General features: G+C 37.5%; 1 pseudogene across 1 annotated transcript in view; it reads left to right on the top strand.

The window, feature by feature from the left end:
* The window catches only part of HYDIN2 (HYDIN axonemal central pair apparatus protein 2 (pseudogene)), a 335,703-nt pseudogene that overhangs the window by 124,248 nt on the left and 187,530 nt on the right, over window positions 1–23,925 (top strand). The window contains exons 16-18 of the transcript NR_103556.2: window positions 6,450–6,568; window positions 11,864–12,087; window positions 20,430–20,497. The product of NR_103556.2 is annotated as an HYDIN axonemal central pair apparatus protein 2 (pseudogene) (transcript). The remainder of the gene's footprint in view (window positions 1–6,449; window positions 6,569–11,863; window positions 12,088–20,429; window positions 20,498–23,925) is intronic.

Consider the following 23,925-nt stretch of genomic DNA (forward strand, 5'->3'; position numbering starts at 1 on the left):
CACACTCCACCAAATTCTACCTGCTGGCGTTTTGTTTAGCAGTACATTGAATTTATAGATATAAACCTGTTGGGAGAAAATGGACACTCTCGATGACATTGAATCTTCCTTTTCAAGAATATAGTCTAGTTCTCTATTTATTCATTTATTTATTTAAATCCTTGTTAATGTCTTCCCATAAAGTTTTACAACTTTTGCTTTGAAGTTTTCAAGTATGTTTTGTTGATTTATTTTTACGTACTTTATATTTTTGTTGCTATTATAAATAGAACCTTGAAAACTAAATTTTTCTGACTGTTGCTGGATATAGAAATACAGTTGACCTTCGTAAATGTTTGCTAATCCTGAATCTTACTCTCTTGTTTATTTTATTTTATTTATTTTTTGAGACCACTTCTTGCTCTGTTGCCCAGGCTGGAGTGCAAGTGATGTGATCGTAGCTCACTGCAGCCTTGAACTCCTGGGCTCAAGTGATCCTCTTGCCTCAGCCTCCCAAATAGCTGGGACTACAGGCTCACTCCATGATCCCTGGCTAACTTTTTTAAAAAGTTGTAGAGACGAGGTCTTGCTATGTTGCCCAGGCTGATCTTGAACTCCTGGCCTCAATTGTTCCTCCTACCTTGTCCTCTCAAAGCACTAGGATTACAGGCATGAGCCATCATACACAGTCCCTCTCTTATTAATTTTAAAAATTTATTTATAAATTCTTTTTTATTTTCCAGGTTGACAGTCTTAATATGAGTGAATAATGTCTGTTTATTCTTCTATTTATACTTTTTTCCTCTGAATTTTTTCTTACTGCACAGGAATGGAACTCAAGTATAATATGGAACATCTAGGATATCTTAGATGGTATTTTAGTCTGTTCAGGCTGCTATAATAAAATGCCATAAACTTGGTGGTTTATGAAAAACAGAAATTTATCCAACACAATTCTGGAGGCTGGAGAATCCAAGATCAAGGCACCAGCAGATGGTGGAAGGTGCAGACGAGCTTGCTGAGGCAGCTTTTATAAGGCACTAATCCCATTCTTAAGGGCTACACCCTCATGATCATAACACCTCCTAAAGGCCTCACGTCTTAATGCCATCATCTTGGGAGTTAAGATTTCAACATATGAATTTGGGGTTCAGGGGACGCTAACATTCAGACCATAGCAGATGGAAAGTTTTTGAAAGCCCATGGTTTGCATTTCCTGGTACATAATGCAATGGGATCTGTTGCATCTGGGGACTTCAGGGTCATTAAAGGGGTTCTGTAGTGCATCTCCCTACTTCTCATGTGTGAAATAAGAACACTGCAGTCATAGATGAGGACTGCTCTATGTTTTAAAATATTTTGGTCTTTTAATAAGGAGTCTGCCCTTAAAGTTTACTAGTTCCTCCATGCTTGTATCTCTTGCTGCCTTTTGCCAAGACAAGAAAAATATCTGCTTAGAAAATCTTGTGGAAAAGTAGCATTTGTAATGTGACCCTAAAATTTATACTAACACTTAGAAACTCAAGGCTGGGCATTACTTGTACTCCTGTTCTGGGTGAGGGGAGTGGCTAGCAACAAATAAGACAAACTCCTTTGAAGTAATTAATAACTACCAAAGAAACATTGGCTCACTGCTTTATTACAACACATCTCCTTTTTTTTTTTTTTTTTAAGAAAGGCAGTCAAGGTAAGAGATGGAGAAAGTTTTAGGCCTGACAGTTATAAATAGTCCTGCAGTTTATTCCATGATATATTTGCAATTCTCTTTCTTTGCCATTCTGAAAGTTGGATCTCAATCAAAATACTTTTCTCTTGACCAAAGAGTGTAAATTATTCCCAATAGTCTAGACCTCAAAAATAATAGAGTAGGGTAATGCAGTTTGGGCCCTTTGAAAGTTTTATTGGCCGGGCGCGGTGGCTCACGCCTGTAATCCCAGCACTTTGGGAGGCTGAGGCGGGCGGATCTTGAGGTCGGGAGATCGAGACCATCCTGGCTAACACGGTGAAGCCCCGTTTCTACTAAAAATACAAAAATATTAGCCGGGCGTGGTGGCGGGCGTCTGTAGTCCCAGCTACTCGGGAGGCTGAGGCGGGAGAATGGCGTGAACCCGGGAGGCGGAGCTTGCAATGAGCCGAGATCGTGCCACTGCACTCCAGCCTGGGTGACAGAGCGAGACTCCATCTCAAAAAAAAAAAAAAAGAAAGAAAGTTTTATCTATAGTTTAGAGTATTGCCACAACTAACACCTGATCTTTAGAGGAACCTCTTTTCCAGGGATCGGATGGAGCAGGGGAACCCTTTGAATAAATCAGTCATCCTAAGTATGGCTTTTGCTTCTTATAATCAAAGTAATGCTTGTCTAATGACCACTGTGTTGCCAAGCACTAGAAGGAACAAAAGGACAAGTATTCTGTCTTTAACGGACATTCATGGGGAAAAAAGCATTAAAGATACAAAAGCTAAACAGCAACAGAAGACAGTGGAACATAAAATGTCACAAGGTGTTAAAATGATGATAATGAATTAGAAATATCACTTGGCTGTTCTAAGCATATTTTCTGTAATACTGAAAACTACATCAACGAAGCATCAAAAGTATTTTGAACATTCAAAATGTCCATACAGAGCAAATATATCCTCTTTCCTTAGAGAACTTGAAATTATATGGTATACATTTAAGGAAAACCATTGAACTATCAAAGATTTTCAAAGTGGTGATATCCCCACTGCTGGGGAGAATGTGGAGAGAAAGAACCCGTAAATACTACAGATGTTTGTGTGGAATTAGCACAACCATTCTTGAGAGCAGTATGGCTATAGCTGTCACAATGTCAAATGTGCATCCCTTTGTTCTGGAAATGTTTCATAAATGATAAGCTGGGTAATTTGAATTAACTCTTTCTCTCTAAGAACACCTAGGAAAGCAAGGCAAAATATTTTTTAGAGTCTGTTTTTTAAGGCAAGAGAGAACTACTGGAACATGGGGCCAAGATCCAAGAGAAGGAAATCAAGACCGTCAGACTTTGGGGGCCACTTTATCCTTAAAGACACTGCCTTTTTGGTAAAAACTGCAGAGAGGCCAAAAAGATAAGTAAGGTTAAAGAAGAAAACAAAAGTCCATGGTATGTCCCAGGAGGAAAGGCCCTAGTAATCTAATCCCCCAGACTTTAGAGTAGGACCCAGTGAATTAGAAATGGGCCAGTCCTCAAAGAGACTGAAGTTCAGCTTTGAATCATTGTTGTTATTGGTTTAATTTCAAACAGTTTTCCACTGGAGATCCAGAAGATAATTAATCCCTAGCGTTCTAAGGTGTCTATTGTTTATGAGGAATTAATTTATCTCTGTTGTACCTAGGATGATGCTAGCTACCTACCCTTCTTGGGAGAGTTGAGAAAATAATCACTCAAATGATTTGCTGCAGGGCTTAATTCTCTCACAAAACCTTAGCTGAGAACAGCTAAATTAGGTTGTCTGGGATTACTAATGCCCCCCAGTCGCCAGCTAGAAGCCGGAGGGAGTTATCTTCTTGTGGCTTTAAATTATGTCTATAACTTTTATATATACTGATCAGCACTCAATCAAAAAATGACCAAGCACATGAGGAGGTAAGACAATCTGATAGAAAACCAGAGTAAACAATAGAAACAAACCCAGGAGAACCAGATCATAGAATTATCAGACACAGATTTTAAAAATGTTTTTATCAAAATTAAGCAGAGATCTGAAAACTAGAAACATTCTAATGAAAAGTCTAGAACTAAGAAGTTATAATAACAAATTAAAAACTCAGTGGATGAATTTAACCGCTTGTTAGGTATAGCCAGAGAGATTTTGTAAAGTGGAAATTAGATAAATCAAATAAAATATCTGAAAATACTGAAGCATGCAGAGACAAAATATAGAAAAAGAACACACACACACACACACAAAAGACAGAGAGGTGAAAAGTGGAGAAGAAACAATATTTGAAAAGATAATGACTCAAAATTTTTCAGAATTGATGAAAGACAATTATTCACATATTCAATAAGTGCTACAAGCCCCTTAAAGGATAAATGCAACCATGCCTAGGAACATTATAGTAAAATCACTGAAAGCTAAAGACAAAAATAAATAAATATGTGTGCATAAAAATTAAATCTATCAGAAGACAAGATAGATTGTTTCAATTGAGCAATAAGAGTATGAGCTGACTTCTCAACAGAAACAGTGGAAAGCTATAATATCTTCAAAGTGCTGGAAGAAAATATGGAAAAATTGTTCACGGATACATGTTCGATGATAGTAATTACACTACAAATTGTAATGAAAGGTTGGAAGCCACTTAAATGTCCAATAAGAGTTTTAAACATATTTGCCTCCCAACAGTGGACCATATAACCATTAAGAAGAATAAGGGAGATCTTTAGGTATGATATGTTAATGATATGTTAAAATGTTCCAAAGGTATTATTAAATGAAAAAAAGCAGGTTGCAAAATAACATAGTATACATTCCCATTTGCATTAGCAGTATTGTGATACAATTAAATATAAAAGGATAGGCACCAAAATGTTAACAGTAGTTATCTTTGGATGATGCAATTATAAGATAATTTTATTCATATTCTCTTTAAATTTTGTAATGATCACGTATTATCGAACAAAGATAGTTTCATTTTAAAAAGGGGGAACAAAACCAGTCAGTACTTCAAAGGTTGTGTGCTCTGTATTGACCGTGAGTTCATTGTAGAATTGTTATAACGGATATTGTTAAGTGCATTTCATTATCTCTACATGGAAGAAATTCAGCAAAAGTAAGCATCGGGTAAGATCCCTAGACTCAGATCCCTAATATTCTGGATCTTCCTAAATCTAAGGAAGATCAATGTGAATAATGTCCCTTGGAGCCCCAGGTTGGCTCTCATTTTATGAGAAGCATCAATCAATGGTCACCCTTCTCTGATTTAGAATTACTTTTCTTTGTAAGAAACTTTGGAATAATGTTAAGAATTGGGTTAAAATTTTTAATTTTTTTCCTGCTAAAATGTAAATTGCAATACAGTCTGCTCCCTAAAGATAAGAAACTAGCAATATTCTTATTTTCTTAAAACATTTGGATCACAATACCAAAAGACACAATTTAAAATGCCATAATCCCGAATCTTGAGTTCCTGAAAGATCAAAACCCCTAAGGATCAAAATCCCTAAAGTCTAACATCCCTGGTGTCTAAAATCCCAAAAATCACAGTCCTGAAAGATTAAAATCCCAAATGTTGAAATCCTGAAAACCAAAGTCTAGGGAAGCGATTAGTGTGTTTTCAGCTGCACACAGGATAGTTGCATTATGCTGATTGTACCATGTTAGGTGGAACTATTACCTTGTCTTTACTGGGAAATTTAGTATGGTTTAACACATGGGTGCCAGGTTGACAAGGGATGGGCTTGTGGACTTCATTTTAGATGTCAACTTGACCAGTAAAAACTGGTGGAAACCTGGTAAAGCATAATTTTGGGTATATCTGTGAGTGTTTCCAGAGGAGATTTGTGTGTAAGTCTGAGTGGACTTGATGGGGAAAATCTGCCCTCAATGCTGACAGGCCCCATCCAACCAGCCAGGGACTTGGGAGAGAACAAATACAGAAGGCACATTGGTTTGTCTCTGAGAGCTGGGACAGACTTTTCCTCTGCTGCCTTGGACATAGAAATTTGACTCCATGCAAGTGCATTATCACGACGTTGCCTTCGTGTGTAAGCATTGTGTGTGTACGTAAAAATGCCGACACTTCCTCAATACATGAAGAGATAGTCTTTTTGTAGATCTGAATTTGTGAGAGATAAAATTTCTGGAGATCTCAGCTCTTTGGGAAACTGCCTAAGTGGGGGTGACCCATCATGGTTTTTGATCTATCTTCTCAAAAGACTTAAGTTGTTCATATGGTATTTCAGGTGATCACAGTTATAAAGCTGGGTGTCTGCAGTTACCAACCATAATGACATGCATTTGTACTTTGCCCTTTTTCACCTATTCCTTTATAAATACAGCTTGTATGCTCATAACTATTATACCCATGTGACTGTTGTTAGTCTACCTGTGTTTATGCTTGCAAAAATATGCATTCTATTATTGCCTATTTTATTGCATAAAGTGGCCTTTGAAGTGTTCTGTTGTGTTTTTATATGTTTCTCAAGTAAATCCCTCTTTAAAATGTAAATAAATATATTGTAAAGAATGTCTTTTGTTTTTCCAGAATTATATCTTTGGGATTTTGGTCTTTCACAATTTCGGCAGTCAGGATTTTGGCATTCAGGATTATGATTGGCTCCCATATAGGATGAATCTTCAGCGTTAGTTAAATTGCAGTTCCCTCGGTGCAATGCAGGGAGCTATTTAATAATTTTGATTATTTATATTGGTAACGTACATGAGGGAACATGATTTGGGGTAAATGAAGCACCATTTGGATGATAAAGTCTGAACTGTTTTTCTAGGCCGAGAAATCCGTCTGCCCCTCCGAATCAAAGGGGAAGGCATGGGACCTAAGATTCACTTCAACTTTGAATTGCTGGATATTGGGAAAGTTTTCACTGGATCTGCACATTGTTATGAGGTAAGCACTAGAGTTGTTCATTGATACTTCAAACAGTACTTGGCTTTTGGGGTTTGTTTTATATGTTTTTATTTGATGGAAAGAGTATGCAATCACATTTATTCGCCGTTACTCATCCTTGTTGAGACCCTGGAGTGCTCAGATTCTTCCTCCTCCTGCCTGGCCATCATGAGGGGAACAACTTTTTTATCTTCATTAGCCCTCCTTCACTTTAGTGAAAGCTAAAAAGCATCAAAGCCATAGTTTCACTGGTTTTATCCTCATTGTTTTGTAGATTGCAAAGGGAAAACTCATAAATACATCTCCCCATCTGTTTAGTGCTTGTTCTCTGACAACATAAATTCCACAGATCAGAGGATAGATAACCTTTTACATTTTCTAGAACGTCCTAATGAGCATAGCTGTTTTCACATTTCAGAATTTTCTCTTAATGCACTAGTCTCCAATCCATGTTTTAAAAACCAATCAGTTTCTGGAAGAGACTTTCCTGCTTCATCTTTCCAATTAATTAGAAAATGAAATTTTACAGGATGTATGCATGAGTTATTCAGGATCAGTGTTACTTCAGTGTCTCCCCATCACTAAATTTGTATCTAGGGCACATTTTTTACATTACGTCAGACTATAACCCTTGAAACTTCATTTTGGGAAAGTTCCTTCATTGTATATGTTTGTATTTTTATAGAGGTATTTTAAACAATTATTTAATGAGTGACAAATAGGTGCCAGATTCAGATTCATACTTTATTGTGTGTGCATGTCTATGTGTGTGTGTGTGTGTGTGTGATTTCTAATCCTTACCAAATTGTGAAAGTTAGGCTTTATTACATCTATTTTGCATATGAGAAATGTGGATCGTGTAGTAGTTAATATCATACACATCTCCCTTAATGTGTGTTGAGCACAGTGCTAGTGCTTTGACCTTCACTCGTTCATTTAGTCCTCACAAAAACCCAATTTGTATCCTAGCACTTTGGGAGGCCAAGGCAGTGGATCACTTGAGGTCAGGAGTTCAAGACCAGCCTGGCCAATATGGTGAAATTCAATCACTACTAAAAATACAAAAATTACCAGGGCATGTTGGCAGGCACCTGTAATCCCAACTACTTGGAAGACTGAAGCAGGAGAATCACTTGAACTCAGGAGGTGGAGGTTACAGTGAGCCAAGATCGCGCCACTGCACTCCAGCCTGGGCAACAGAGTGAGACTCTGTCTCAAAAAAAACAAAAAACAAAAAACAAAAACCACCCCAAAACAATAAAAACCTATTTGTGAGAACTATTTGTGAGGTACGATTAACTATTTCCATTTCATAGCTGGGTAAACTGAGTCTTAGAGAAGTTAAGGTAGTGCTAGATATTGTAACAAACAAACACAAAAATACATAATGTCTCAAATATGCTAGAAGTTTCTTTTACACCTTACATAAAGTCCAAAACAAAGGTTTCTAGTGAGCAGGTGCTCTCTTCCAGCAGAGAAGCTGGAATGTCTCATGCTTGGCCACCCCTACCACGTGGTCTACAAGATTGTGGAAGGGGAAAGGGCATGGGGGAACGTATATGATATTTTTATAGATGGTAGCACATTTCACTTACATTCATATTCCATTAGCTGTATGCACAGTAAAAGAGGAAGTGCATTCAAGGAACGGCAAACCTGAATGCCAGGGTAGTTAAGTAACTTGGCAGGGTCCTGCAGCATGTAATGTTAGTGAGTCCTGGGGGACTAGGGCTCTCTCTCCTGTTCTGGGAAAAGAAGGCCTTTGCTGGCCTCTCAACCCTTCAGGTTCTCAGCATCCCAACCTCTCACCTCGGGTAAACCCAGCCTCCAAACCACTTGGCTCTTAGCCCAGCCTAACCTGGTGTGGGGACAGTACCCTGCATCCCCCACATTCACAAAGTAACTGTGGCCTAAATGGGATGATGCAGAAGGTAAACAGAGATGGTAATGTCACAGTGAGATGGACTATGCATAGGAACCCTGTGTAAATGAAGAAGTCAGTCGCATGGCTGTCGTGAAATGACAAGTGACACAGCTATATCCCACACTGTCCTGGATTGCATTTGAGAGGTCACTTGGGGAGAAGGAAAAAAAGTCCAGTAGTTCTCATTAAACTGATATTCTGTCTGTAATTCATCCAGTGTGAATTTCCTGTATCTTACAGACTGAACTTATGAGTGCCACATCAGAAAAGAAGCTTTAGTTCTGATGCAAAATGGATAGGGTTTCCCTGAATGTAAATTTAGCAGAAGTGTACTTGAGGCCACCACTTCCCACCCTCCCTAATTTTAATAGTAAAGCAAACCACAGCCAGTTAAATAAGTGTTCAATGAGGTGATGCATCAGATTGGACAGTTTGGAGAGCTGTGCAGTGGCAGAGAAGGACACGGTAAGGTGCTTCTTATGGGAATATTTTGCACTGTCTGCGTATTTAATGCTGATGCTTCATTGCATCTCTCTTTCAATTTATTGCATTACCTACTTGAGACAAATTTGAATAACTAGCTATTGCCCTTAGTCATTGCTGAACATAGCAGATACATAAAGAATAAACCATTAACCCCAAGAGTATACCCTATTCCCCAGTGTAATTAAGAAGGAAAACAAATGAGAGGCAAAGTTTGATTATAAATTTTCTTCTCTCCAAGGAGCTAGACCTCAAGGGAAAGAGTATTATCGGTAATCAAAAGGCCTCTGAATTGTGTCCCAAAACTATTGCTGGTTTCTGTATTCGTAAGTAGGTGCTTATTTCTCAGGAGGAGAAGAATGATGTCATATTCTTAAAAATGGAGGAATTCTCACCATACAGAAAATATGGGCAAAACATTTCTGCTAACCAAAAAAACTAAAAGGCAATCCATGCATCTTCTGAAAGAGAAGAACAGGGTCCTCCAAGTTACCACTAATGCCTTCAATTTGCCTTCATGTTACCACTAGTACGTACTAGTCACTTCTTAAGCACAGGTAAAATTTAAACCCATTCTATTAGGCACTGGGGATATAAATAGCAGTCACTGACTACGTGTGGTGGCTCATGTCTGTAATTCCAGTGCTTTGGGAGGCTGAGGTGGAAGGATCACTTGAGCCCAGGAGTTCAAGACCAGCCTGGGCAATACAGAAAGACCCCATCTCTACAAAAAAAAACCCACAAAAATTAGTTGGGTGTGGTGGCACATACCTATAGCCCCAGCTACTCAGAAGGCAGAGGCAGGACGATCACTTGAGCTTAGGAGTTCAAGGGTACAGTGAGCTATGATGGCGCCACTGCACTCCAGCCTGGACAACAGAGCCAGATCCTGTCTCTTAAAAAACAAAAAACAAACAAACAAACGAAAACATAACAACAGTCTCTGTCATTTTTAAGCACTATTTGCCAAGCACTATTCTAAAAATTACATAAATTAATAAATTTAATTTTACAGCAATATGAGAAGTTAGTAGTACTTACATTTTACACATGGGGAAACTGGAGCACAGAGAAACTAAGTAGATTGTCCAAGGTTACAGAGCTAGTAAGTCAATGGCAAAGCTGAGATTTGAACCCAGGCAGTTTGGCTTCAGAGTCGCTGGCCATAATCACTTTTCTACATGGTCTCTTTAAACGCAATGAAGGGTGAAGCCTGGTTCCTGCTACCAGGGACCTTAGAATGAGGGAGATGCGAAAGAAACATAAAAAGATGAATAAAATAGCAAGCAGCAATTATTTATGCTTCTATTTTGGTGCATTGTCCGTCTTCTCTTGGCAGAAGAGGCTGTCTTCCTCTGCTCTGCCTCTGCTGCCGACTCTTTCTCTCCATCATATATTCTGGATGCCCTCTTCCCTGCAACCTGAGCCCCTGAACTCATCCTCCTCTGCCTCCACTCAGACCCCATTCCCTTAGTTACCAAGCTCTCTTCTCTTACAACAACAACAGGCAGCACTTGGGTGAGTGTTTCCTCTAGGCTGAGCACTGAATATGCATTATCTCATTTATTATAAATATGCTGTCTCCTCCACAGTACCTCCCCACAGTCTTGCCACTCCCATTCTCACCTTTCACCACTCATCTTCTCAAAACAGGAATCTAAAATAGCCACTATTTCCTGTACACCCACTCAATTCCCTAAATATTTGTCCTCTGGATTCTGCAGTCATGCCCCACTAGAATTACTCTCTTCCTCAAGGTCAGGGATGACAATAATCTCTAACTAAAAATAATGTCTGTAACCTTTGCTCCAAACTTACTCTCCTGACCTCTGTCTGCATCTGACTTCTTCCGGGAATCCTCCTCCCTCAGCTTCCGCGTTCCTGACACACGTCACATTTGCCTGCTAACCTTCTGAAAGTTTCTTTGAGATCTCTCATGCTCTTTGTCCTCCAAAGCCTTATGTGTAGGTTGAGGGTGGTTCCTATATAAATCAGGAAAACATGCTGTTCACCCTCTAGGTGTAAGGACAGCATTGGCAAGGATCAGAGGTGGTGTCTTTGGAAGCCAGGATAGAACAACATGGCTGTAGTGAAGGTTCATGCACAAGAATTGTAGGGACAGTAGACTGAGGCCTGCCTTATAGGACGCCTAATGTCACGAGTGTGCATGAAGGAGCTCAGGCATGAGCTCTTTACATGCACACACTAAACCCAGTGTGCAACCACATATGGGCAATAACATGCTTCCACAACACTAGAATATAGGAGTACAACTTTTCTATAGTAAAACAGTTGCTTGCATAAGAATCTCAAAACAATCATCCATCCAGTAGAATCTGAGATGAAAATATCTCAATAGGATGAAATCTGATAGCACAACAAAGAGAACCCTTGTCATCTGGGATCCACAGTGATGTCTCATTTACATTCTTCAAGCTACATTATAAACATAGGTTTAGGTAATTCTCACTCTGCTATTCTAACTTGCTTTTTATTTTTAAGTATGCTGCTTAACCTCAGCCTTCTCATGCGTATAAGAGAAATACTTACTTTCCCTTGGTTACTTTATAGAGAGTAGCAAAAAAGGGAGTATTTTAAGGCTCTTCATCAGTATATGTGATTATGATCAGTCTTTATAGCACGAGCATAATATATATGACTAATTTCATGTTAAAGAGGAGACTAAAAATATAAAATTACTTTCTGGCTTGGGAGTTCTATCTTCAAACACTCAAGGCATCAGACTGTTCATTTGTCCCTGAGTGTTCTTCTTTGGTTCTAATTCTGCAACTTTCCCTTTGTTGCTGTTAAACAGTACAGACACATGCTTATATGAAAATAGGTCAGAGGCCCATTGACCTTCACATTCTTGCCTTTTATTGATATAGGCGATACTGTACAACAAAGACAGCATCGATGCTCTCTTCAACATGACCCCTCCAACTTCAGCTTTGGGGGCCTGCTTTGTTTTCAGTCCCAAGGAAGGCATCATTGAACCAAGTGGAGTCCAAGCTATCCAGATCTCCTTCAGCTCTACCATCCTGGGAAACTTTGAAGAAGAGTTCCTGGTCAATGTCAATGGGTCACCTGAGCCTGTGAAACTGACCATTAGGTAAGGTACATTTATAATGAATGTAGAAACTAACAGAAGTTTTAACCTGTTGCCTTTTTAGCTTTTTAAGTAGATCCTGTCTTGGATGCTGATGACTATCTTTGTTGATATGAACACATCAGCATAATAGAGTGTGTTAAATTTCCATCAGTGTTTCCCTAGTGAACATGTATAAGTTATTATAGATACAGATGCTGTTTGGAGATCTAGTTTTTCTACAAGTTATAGTCTTATAAAATAAGGATTTAGACATTAAACTAGCTTCTAGTTACTCTCTATGTCTTAGGATGTTTAGAGAAAATAAGTTATTACAGTAACACCTGAATAAAATCATCTGGGCTAAGCTTTGGCCATTATCACAGTTTCTCTAAACTTTTGTCTTTTGTTCTTATTTTAAGGAAATTACTTACATGATCTCACTATTATGTCTCCAAGCATTGTAAACACATTGCTCTGACTCTGTTTGGATTCCCACAGCAGCAGGTTGTTAATTACCATGGCAGTTTCTCTTATTCTGGTAACTGCTAGCAAGACCTCCCTCCATCTACAAGCTGAGGTCTCCCTTGGGGCAAGCCCTGGGGATAACATAGAAAAGAGATAGAGACATATGACCTGAAGGATCCAAGGAAAATGTACTGATCTCATGATATATACTATACATTCAGAATCTCAAGATTAGCTGAAAGGTGATTACTATTTATTCTCAACTCTTCCACCTCAGTGTCCCTGTTATGCACTGAATTGTTTCCCGCAGAATTTATATGTTGAAGTCCTAACACCCAGTACCTCGGAATGTAACTCTTCTTGGACATAGGGCCTTTAAAGAGGTAATTAAGGCAAAATGAGGTCAGATGGGTGGGCTTTAATCCAATATGATTGGTGTCCTTATAAGGAGAGGACATTAGGACACAGACATACACATAGAAAAGGGCCATGTGAAAAAATAAAGAGAAGCTGAAGCGAGAGACCCTCAGAAAAAAATAACCCTGCAATCACCAACCCGTCTGACAGCAACAGAAATAAACTTATGTTGTTTAAGCCACCCAGTCTAGGGTACTTTGTTATGGCAGCCCTAGCAAAGTCATACAACCCCCAACAACTAAGGAGAGTGAACGTGTGTGCCTCAAGGGTTCTGTGGCATGACCAAAGCAACCTGTCACAATCATAATCTTTTTTATTTTTAAGTCTCAAGACTTATCTGAAACATTCACAAGACATTTACGTTCTCTTCCATAATACATGTGTGTTTGTTATAAGAGAAAAATGAGGGTTGTTTTCCAAATATTTGAATAACATTGACTCTTCACGAATATGTGCCGTGCTTATCCCAGCCCATGGTTAACATCCTTTGGGTATGTATACAACATGAGAAGGGTGGGAATACACTTTCATTTATATGAACTTCAGCCCACTTCCTACCTTCATAACATCTCATCTCTCATGACAAGCAGTGAAGGGTGGTTCTCTGAAGAAGTAGGAAGAACAAACTTGTGAATATAACCTTGTCTCCAATTCACGGATCCTCTAGTCCCATGAGGGCCTTTGATATGATCCAGCAGATCAACTCTTGGAAGCTGACTACTGGGCATCAGGAAGTATTGCTCTGAGTCATAAGCACCCTTGACAACATCCAGTATCATAAGCAAGCCTTCATACATAAGCAGCAAAGATAAAACCTTTAAGCTCTGCTCTAAAAACATTTAAGATAGAAGGAATAATGGCCCTATCTGTAGGAAGGAAAGTATAGGATATTAAAGGAGCAGTTTTACTTTTCAGGTAGATGAAAGAAAGGGAAAGTGCTAGCCAAGGAAGGCTAACTGCCCCTCAAGTTTAATAAGAAAGCCCATCCCAATTTCACCTGGCCATTCCCCATTTTAAGTTCAGGCCTAATAATACTGTGTCTTACCATCAACATACATAGCTACCCCTTTTAGGAATAAATATGTATTTTGGATATTTGTTAAATAAACTCTTATTGAGTACCTCCTTCAAGCAAGGTTGTATATTAGGTGCAAGAACTCATGTATTTGGGTTTGTTAGACATTCCTGATGCATGAATACTACTGCCCTCATTTTTGACTCTGAATTATTTACCCAAATTCAGGATTGCCCATTCTTTAAACTATTCCCTAAAGAAACTTAAAAATACAGTAAAAGAAATAACAAAGGAATTCAAAAGGGTAGAAAATATCCATTTAACACAAAGAAAGGCAGTAATGGAGGAATAGAGGAACAGAAAAGATATGAGACATATAGAAAATAAGTAGCATGAGTCCTGCCCTATCAACAATTACATTAAATGTCAATGTATTAAATACTTCAATTAAAAGTTAGAGAATGGCAGAATGGATTAGAACAAAACAAACAACCCCGCCAAAAATCTATATCTTTTTGCTTTTTACAAGATATCTATCTTGTATCTATATGCTTTTTACAAGATACCACACTTTAGATTTAAAGATATGAATAGGTTGAAACCAAAAGGATGGAAATATATACACCATGCAAGCAGTACCAAAAGAAAGCTGGAGAGTCTATGTTATATCAGACAAAATAGACTTTAAAATAAAAATTGTTACTCAAGACAAAGAAGGGCATTTTACAATGATAAGATAGTGAGTTCATCAAAAAGATATGGCAATTATAAACACACATCTAATAACAGAGCACCAAAATCTGTGAAGTGCAGAAAGATAGAATTGAAGGGAGAAATAGACAATTCAGCAAAATAGTAAGGGATGTCAATACCCCACTTTCAATAATAAAAAACTAAGCAGAAGATCACAAAGGAAATAGAAGAGTTGAACACTATAAACCACCTAGACCTAACAGACATCTACAGCACACTCTACCCAACAGGAATAAAAGAAAGGACATTACTACCAACCTTACAGAAATTAAAAGGATTAGTGGATAATGCTATGAACAATTGTATGCCAAAAATTAGATAATGTAGATGATATGAACAAATTCCTAGAAAGACACGAACTACCAAAACTGACTCAAGAAGAAATAGAAAATCTGAATAGACCTGTAATATATTCCAACCAAAAAACAAACAAACAAAAAACAAGATCAAGTGGCTTCACTGGTAAATTCTACTGAATGTTTAATGAAGAATTGTCATAAATCTTTCACAAACTCTTCCAAAAAATAAGAAGGTGGGAACACTTTTCAACTCATTTTATGAGGCCAGTATTACCCTGATACCAAAACCAAATGAAAACATTACAAGAAAAGAAAGCTAAAAACCCATAACCTTTATGGATTTAGACCCAAAAATCTTTGACAAAATACTAGCAAACCAAATCCAGCAACATGTGGAAAGGATTATACCCCATGACGAAGTGGGATTTATCCTGAATGATGAAAGGTTGGCTTAACATAAGAAAATCAATCAATGTAATACAACATATTAATAGAATAAAGGACAAAAACCACATGATTATTTCAGTAAACACAGAAAAAGCATTTGCCAAAATTTAGCACCCTTTTATGATTAAAAAAAAAAAGTAACAAACTAGGAGTAGAAGGGAACTGCCTCTACATGGATCAAAGACTGAAATGTAAGGGCTGAAACTATAAAACTGTTAGAAGACAACATATGGATAGGCCCGGTGTGGTGGCTCATGCCTGTAATCTCAGCACTTTGGGAGGCTGAGGCAGGCAGATTACCTGAGGCCAGGAGTTCGAGACCAGCCTGGCCAACATGGTGAAACCCTGTCTCTACTAAAAATACAAAAAAATTAACTGGGCATGGTGATGCATGCCTGTAATTCCAGCTACTTGAGAGGCTGAGGCAGGAGAATCACTTGAACCCAGGAGGTGGAGATTGCAGTGAGCGGAGATTGTGCCACTGCACTGCAGCCTGGGTGACAGAGTGAGACTCTGTCTCAAAAACAAACAAACAAAAAAAATAGGGTTAAATATCCATATCCAAAAACCAAATAAGCAATAGTTTTCAGATAATCAGCATCTAAGCACAAGCAACCAAAGAAAAAATAAATAAATTAGACTTCATCAGAATGTAAAAAAGTTTGTGCTTGAAAGGGGATACTGTCAAGAAAGTGAAAAGACAACCTTCACAATGGGAGAAAGTATGTGCAACTCATATATCTGATAAGGGACAATAAATTATTGGACAATTATAACTCAATAAATAATTCAATTTAAAAATGGACAAAGCGTTTAAGCAGACATTTCTCAAAGAAGATATACAAGAGGCCAATAACACATGAAAAGACTGTCAATATCATTAATCCTCAGGGAGATGTAAATCAAAACCCCACAATGAGATACTACTTCACACTCACTTGGATGGCTATAATCTTAAAATGGAAAATACAGTAGTTTCCCTTTATCTGCATTTTTAGGCCCCAAAGCGCAAAAGTAAAATTAGGGTTACTCAGACACAAGCACTGCAATACTGTGGCAGTTGATCTGATAACCAAGACAGCTACTAAGTGACTAAAGAGCGGGTAGCATATGCAGCATCGATACACTGGACAAAAGGGTGACTCATGACCTCGGCTGGACAGAGAGTGGATGACACAAGACTTCATCACACTACGCAAAGTGCACTTAACAATTTCTGACTGATTTGTTTCTGGAAATTTTTTATTTAATATTTTTGGACCGTGTTGACCATAAGTAACTGAAACAACAGAAAATCAAAACTACAGATAAGGAACTACTGTAAGTATTGGTGAAAAGGTGGAGGAATGAGAACTCCCATACACTGGTAATTAGGAATGTAAGACATGGCAGCCACTTTAGAAAATGATTTATCAGCACCTCAAACATGTAAACACTGAGTTACCATATGACCAGCAATTCCACTCCTAGGTATATACCCAAGAGGAATGAAAGCATATATCCACACAAAAACTTGTACATGAATGTTTATAACAGTATCATTCATAGTAGCCAAAGATAAATGAAATGTGTTATATCTATACAATGGAATACTATTTGACCATAAAAAGGAATGAAAAAAAATGAAGCACTGATAGATGCTACAACATGGTAGCATGAATGAACCTTGCTACCACGGTCTTTTGTGACTAGCTTCTTTCACTTGTCATAATGATTTCAAGGTTCAGCCATAATGACACCATTATAAACCTTGAAAATAAGGTTCATCCATTATGAACCTTGAAAACATTATGAAAGAACCCGGTCACGAAAGACCACATTACATGATTCCATTTATATGAAATGGTTAAAGTAGGCAAATCTATATAGATCTGAGGTAGATTAGTGGTTGCTTAGGGCTGGAGGGTGCAGGATAGTGGGTGACAGCTAAAGGGCATGAGGTTTCTTTTTGAGGTGATAAAAACGTTCTCAAATTGACTGTAGTGATGGTTGCATATATTTGTGAATATACAAAAAACATTGATTTGTACACTTTAAATGTGTGAATTGTATGATGTGTGAATTATATCTCAATGAAGCTGTCATTTAAAAAAAAATTCCAGGAGGCTGTAATAGTGAATAATACTTCTGTAATTTCCTGGGTGAATTTTTTAAATCTCTGATCTGTTCTCCTAAAGATCCCAGAGTAGTCATGCATGTCACTTGCAATGTCTAAATAGGTTAAGGTGTACTTGGGTTTTCCATTGGGAATAATAGGATTTAGGGATCTCCCAGGAATCTGCTCACAAGTGAACTTGGACTAGTTAGTACTCCACCTGCTCTGTGCAGGGTAAGCCTCTTGTTCTATCTTCTGGACATTTCCATTTACCAAAATTCACATGCCACTTCTTGATTTTGGATGTTCATTTCTAGTTTCCTTCAACAAACCTGACTATGGAAAGAATCTTTATGGGGATTTATCACCAAACTCATGATCAATTGCTAAGAGAAATAGACTTACATAAATTTCCTCCTCAGTTCACTTCCTTTAAAGCTCAGTGTTTCATTTGTCCAATAGTGTTGAATTGTTAGTGGTTTGTAGCATTTCAAACCACTAACAATAATTTTGAAAACCTGTTAAAAATCTAGTGTCATGAATAAATGTCTACTCATAAAGGGCAAAAATGCATGTATAATACATCATCTGTTCTCAGCTCCACACATTAACACTGACTTGACTTGTTATTTTACTTTGTCAGAAATACTTTCTTGGGCCTCATAGCCCAGGAAATGTCTATAAAGTTAATATCGTAGGTTCTGGAATTTTGTTTCTTACTTTTTTATTGCCAGGTACTCATTTCTCAGTACTGCATAAGCTAGTATTTTAGCTAATGTGCCTTGAAAGATCATAACAAATATTATACTTTCACTCTTTCTGTTTACTCTTCCAGTTATATAACACAATATTTTCAGTGGTTGGATAAACAACACTAAAATTAGTGTGATTTTTTAAATTACCCACAAGCAATTTTCTTCCCTCCTATTTTTATGTATGTGATTTTATAAAGTTTGAACCATAGCACAGATACATTTTGTATTCAACTTGTCTCACTTACGTATTGTAATAATTGAATCATTCTCTCTCTTGTCTTTCAAATTATAGTTTTAACAGACCCCTGCACTGATTTATGACACAGCCTTGGCATAGATTGTCCTAACATTCTGAATCCCTGTGAGAATTAATGTGACCATATCTAAGTCCAGATGGGATGGTTCAGCCACAATTCCCTCAGTTACATGTGCCTTTGAACAAGTGTCATGTATCTCTGGTTGTTTAAACTTCTGCATTGATTAAATGTCTGCTTTGTGTAAATTTTTTAAACTTCTTTCCTACTTTCTTTAGCATCTTGCGCATGTCAGACACTTTTGATCTATTTGTTACTTTGGTCCCTAAAAGCTTTTTTTCAAGTGAAGCATATAGCCTGTCGGCCTGTTTGTTGACTTCATTCTCAACTGGATCCCAATTCCTGGCTGAGTCCCAACCACTCCCTTTAAAATCACTTCAGATCGTTAGCATGAGATATAATAAATGCTCATGAGAAAGTTAGACCTGAAACTTGTTGCAGTGAGTCTTTGCTGTGGCCATTCCTCCCAGGCTTACAACAACCTCTCATCACATTATAGTCAGAGCTGAAGCAACCGGAAGTATCACTAAGGTACCAATCCATGTCTTTACATGGATCATGGAGAAAAATATTATTGCTCTGAAGGTAAACAAGATAACCGAATAGTTTTCTTTTGCTGTTGTAACAAATTATCACAAATTTAGTAGCTTCAAACAACACATACTTAATATTTTACAGTTTTATAGACTTAATGCAGGTCTAGCTAGGCTAAAATCAGTGTTGGCAGGGCTGTGTTTCCTTCTGAAGGCTCTAGAGGGGAACCCATTTCCTAACCTTTTTTGGCTTTCTGAGGCTGCTCACATTCCTGGATTCCTTCTTCTGTGTTCAAAGTTTCCTTCTTCTGTGTTCAAAGCCAGGTTGAGTTCTCAGATTGCAGCACTCTGACCTCCTCTTCTGTCTCTTTCCTCTATTTTTAAAATCACCCTTGTGATTACAGTGGGCCTACTAGGATAAGACAGGATAATCTCCTCATCTTAAATTCAGTTAATTAGCAACCCTAATTCCATCTGCTACCTTAATTCCTCTTTGCCATGTAACCTAATATATTCATAGGTTCTGGGAATTAGGACATAGATATCTCTGGGAGCCATTATTCTACCTACAATACCTTCTAAGCTAGAAGTCATAGAATCTCTCTATTATTTATTTTAAGCTACAGCATCTCTCCAAGATCATAAAGCCTTACACTGAGAGAGAAATAGACCAACATTTAGAGTAAAGAGTCATTCAGTGTCACCTAGTCCAGTCCTCTCTTTTATACACGAGGAAGAGAAACAGAAGCTGATAGAGATAAAGTGGCTGGCCAACATCACAGTGAGTGAATGTCACAGTGGTAGGAATGTCACAGTGGTAAGAGTGGAATTGGAACAGTTTATATGAAAGCATGGACAGGGATTACTAGTATCAATGATAGTCTTTGATGTGTATTACATGATTAGACCTATAATTTTTATTTCTTGACACATTAATAACTTTACATGATATGTGTCTCATTCAAAATAACAACATTTTGTGCCCTTGTTTGGTGATCCATCTGCTCTGCCTCTCACCTATTCATTGGTAGAAATAAGATAATAAGTTAACCACAGCATTGTTTGTCAAAACCCATGGTTTGAATCATGAAAAAGAATTTTAAGAACCACTGTGATAGACCATCATGTCATCATTTCTTTAAATCCTGGATACTATAATTGACATAAAGTCAAGGTATGGTTTTTGTACTTATCCTTGCCCTACTTCCTGATTGTGACTCTGATTCACTGGATTCTCTCCCTCTCCCCCACCTTGTATTCCTCCTTCCAGAGGCTGTGTCATTGGACCTACCTTCCATTTTAATGTTCCAGCTCTGCACTTTGGTGATGTTTCCTTTGGTGAGTAATTTTCCATTTTAAATTAGAAATTGAATAGGATTCCTTTTCTCTACGTGGAAGGAGGAAGGTTTACAAAGAACCCCCGTTCCACAGCACTGGAATAGGAAGTCCAGCACAAGGACATTCAGAACATGTGCCCTATATCTGATTGCCCTGCATAAGAAAACAGAGTCCACATAACCATCCCAAGTCAGTTACTGCCAAGAAATCTTATACTGATTCATTGTTTGGAATCTACTCTATAGTTCAGCTCTGAAATGTTAATGTAAATGCTATATACCAGTGGTAAGCCCATTATTGAGCTCCAAGAATATCTAAAACTCTTTTATCTAGAAGTCTTCTCCACTTGAGCACCCCAAACACTGACAGTCAGGCATAAAACTTATATATTGACAAGTAACTAATGTTGAGAAATTCATCCAGAATGTAGCACTGAAAGCAAAAGAGTTAGACTACATGAAAGCGAAATAAAGGGACATGGAAAGTAAGATTTAAAAGTTCTAACTAACTAACTAACTTGTATCTAATAGATACAAGTTCTAAGTTTAAAGGTTTAAAAGTTCTAACTTGTATCTAACAGAAATGCTAGATGGAGAAAGAATGAAAATGGCCAAAGAGCAATATTTGAAGAGATGGCGGCTGAGAATTTCTAAACTGAAGAAAAACATTTGTCCTTATAGTGTGCAACTGGATGCTCTTTCAATTCTGTAACTCCATCATAGGTAGCATGTAGCTTCTATGTCTTGGTCAAGTTTTCTGCCCTAACCTTAGCCGTCATACTCACATTCCAGCCAGCAGAAAGGAGGAAGAGACAGGAAAAGAGTACACCCCTTCCTTTTAAGGACACTTCCTAGAAGTTGTACACGCCACATATGGTTATATCCCATTGGTGAGTACTTAGTTGTGTGGCCACAACCAAGCTGCACATAAGGCTAGGAAATACAGCCTCATTCTTGCTGGCCACATTCACAACCAAAACTTAGGGATTTCGTTACTTCCTGGAGAAGGAAAAGGATAGTGGGAGATAACCAGCAATTTTGCCGTAACTTAGCAAATCTGGGCAACATCAATTAAGAATCAGCCAGGCATAGTGGCTCACATCTATAATCCCTCCACTTTGGGAGGGCGAGGCGGGAGGATTGCTTGAGCCCAGGAGTTCAAGACCAGCCCAGACAACATAGCAAGACCCCATCTCTACAAAAAACTAAAACGATCAGCTGAGTGTAGTGGTACGTACCTGTCGCCCCAGCTACCTAAGAGGCTGAAGCAGGAGGATCTCTTGAGCCCAGGAGTTGGAGGCTGCAGTGAGCTGTGATTGCACCACTGCAATCTAGCCTAGGCAAAAGAGCAAGACCCTGTCTCTAAAAAAACAAATAAACAACAAAAAAACCCTCATAACTCTTATTAGGAACCAGGAAAGAAATACAATTGCAGATATTTAAGGCAGTAAAAACAGATAAGAGAATGCTATATACAACTTCTTTAAAAAATAGGAGAAATGGATGAGTTGGGGGAAAACATACGTTATTAAAATTACCACAAGGAGTAGAAAACCTGAATAGAAAAATAATCATAGAATATACTGAAAAAGAAGTCAAATATCTACCCCTGAAGAAAAGACACTAGGTCAAACAGCTTTACAAGTGAGTTCTACCAAATGGTGAAGAAATGGATGTATCTCACATCACAGAAAAATGTAGAAAGCTATTAACTCGTTTTAGGAGACAAATATATTCACAGTAAAACAACACAAGAAAAGAAAAATATAGACCCATCTCTCTTATGAACATTGATTTTAAAGCATTAGCAAATCACATGCATAGAGATGCATTTTTAAAATTACATCATGACCAAGTAGAATTTATCCCAGAAATCCAAAAATGGTTTAGTAACAGGAAATCCATTCATGTAATTTACCACAATTTATATCATCTCAGTTCATGCTGAGAAAAATATTCCACAGAATCCAACACTCATTCATAATGAGAAATAAAAGTTCTTAGAAAACTAGGAGTAGGAGGGAAATTCCTTAATATGATGAATGAAAAATAGAAAAAACCTACAGTGGGAAAATGTATTTAATGGGGACCTTTATTCATTTAGTAACGTATATTTAGTAATATTAGTTTAGCTATGTTCTAGACACTATTCTGGGGACTGGGATATTACAATTTAATGTTGAAAGCATTCTGATTCATTTTCAGAGACAAAAAAAACAAAAAACAAAAAACTATTCTCAAGCTATCATATAACATTGTCCTGGAGGTCCAAGCCATTGTGACAAGAAAATAAAAGGAAATAAAAGATAAGTAGTTGAAAAGAAAAAAACAAAACTATCATGGTTTATAGAATGTATTATTCTCTACCTAGAAAAACTGTGGTAATTAACTGACAAGGCATTAGAACTAATAAGCGTTTAGCAAGATATTCAAGCAAAATATTGTTAAAAAGTAGATTTTTAAATATATCAGCAATGATTAACTAGAAAATATAATTGAAAAATATCATTTAAGAATATAAAACTATAAAATAACCTAACAATAAATGTGCAGACACTACAGGAAGAAGATAATTGGTTAATTCCCTGGGGAAAAATTCACAGAAAGAGCCAATAAATTTTTGAAACAAAGACCAGTGACTGTGGACTTTATCAGATATTATAATGTACTTTAAAGCGTAGGCAAATAGACTAATAGAAACAAAGCCATGACTACAGGGGAATTTACACATGCTCAATGTGAAATTTCAGATCAGTGGAGGCATGGGCTGCTTCATAAAAGGCAAAGAAACAATTTGTTATCCATTGGAAATAATAGAAAAGTTAGACTTTTACCTCACATCTTTCACAGAAAAAAATCTCAGATCTATTAAACAGCTAACAATGAAAAACAAACTTTTTAAAATATCAGGAGAAAATATAGGTGGTTATGTTTATATGCTAGCAAGTGTGAAGGTCTTAAACAAGATGCCCAATGCAAAAGCCATAAAGAAAAAGGTTAGTAAGTGTGGCTCCCTAACATTAAGCAAATTTCCAAACAAAAAGATTTCATGAACACAGTAAAAAGACAATGCTTGCAACATAAATAATAGGCAAAGTATTAAAATCAGAATACATGAACCTTCAGAATACATGAAACTAACTCCTGCTAATTCATGAGGAAAAGTGAAATTATCCAATAGAAAAATTGGCAAATAGATGAATAGACATGTATGAATTGGTAAGTGTTTAAACAGAATAGAAGGTCTATGAAAGACATATTAAAAGATGCTTAATCTCAATCATCTTAGATATTTTTTGTGAAGAAAATTTAAGTATTTTTTTATAACCCAACTAGTATTTCTCATGTGTTCCCACACTACCAAGCAAGCATGGCAGGAGTTGGGGGGCACTGAGGCACTGGCCTGGGGGTGCCTCATCTAGCTAACCA

The sequence above is a fragment of the Homo sapiens genome, chromosome 1 (assembly GCF_000001405.40).
Source record: "Homo sapiens chromosome 1, GRCh38.p14 Primary Assembly".
NCBI lineage: Eukaryota > Metazoa > Chordata > Mammalia > Primates > Hominidae > Homo > Homo sapiens.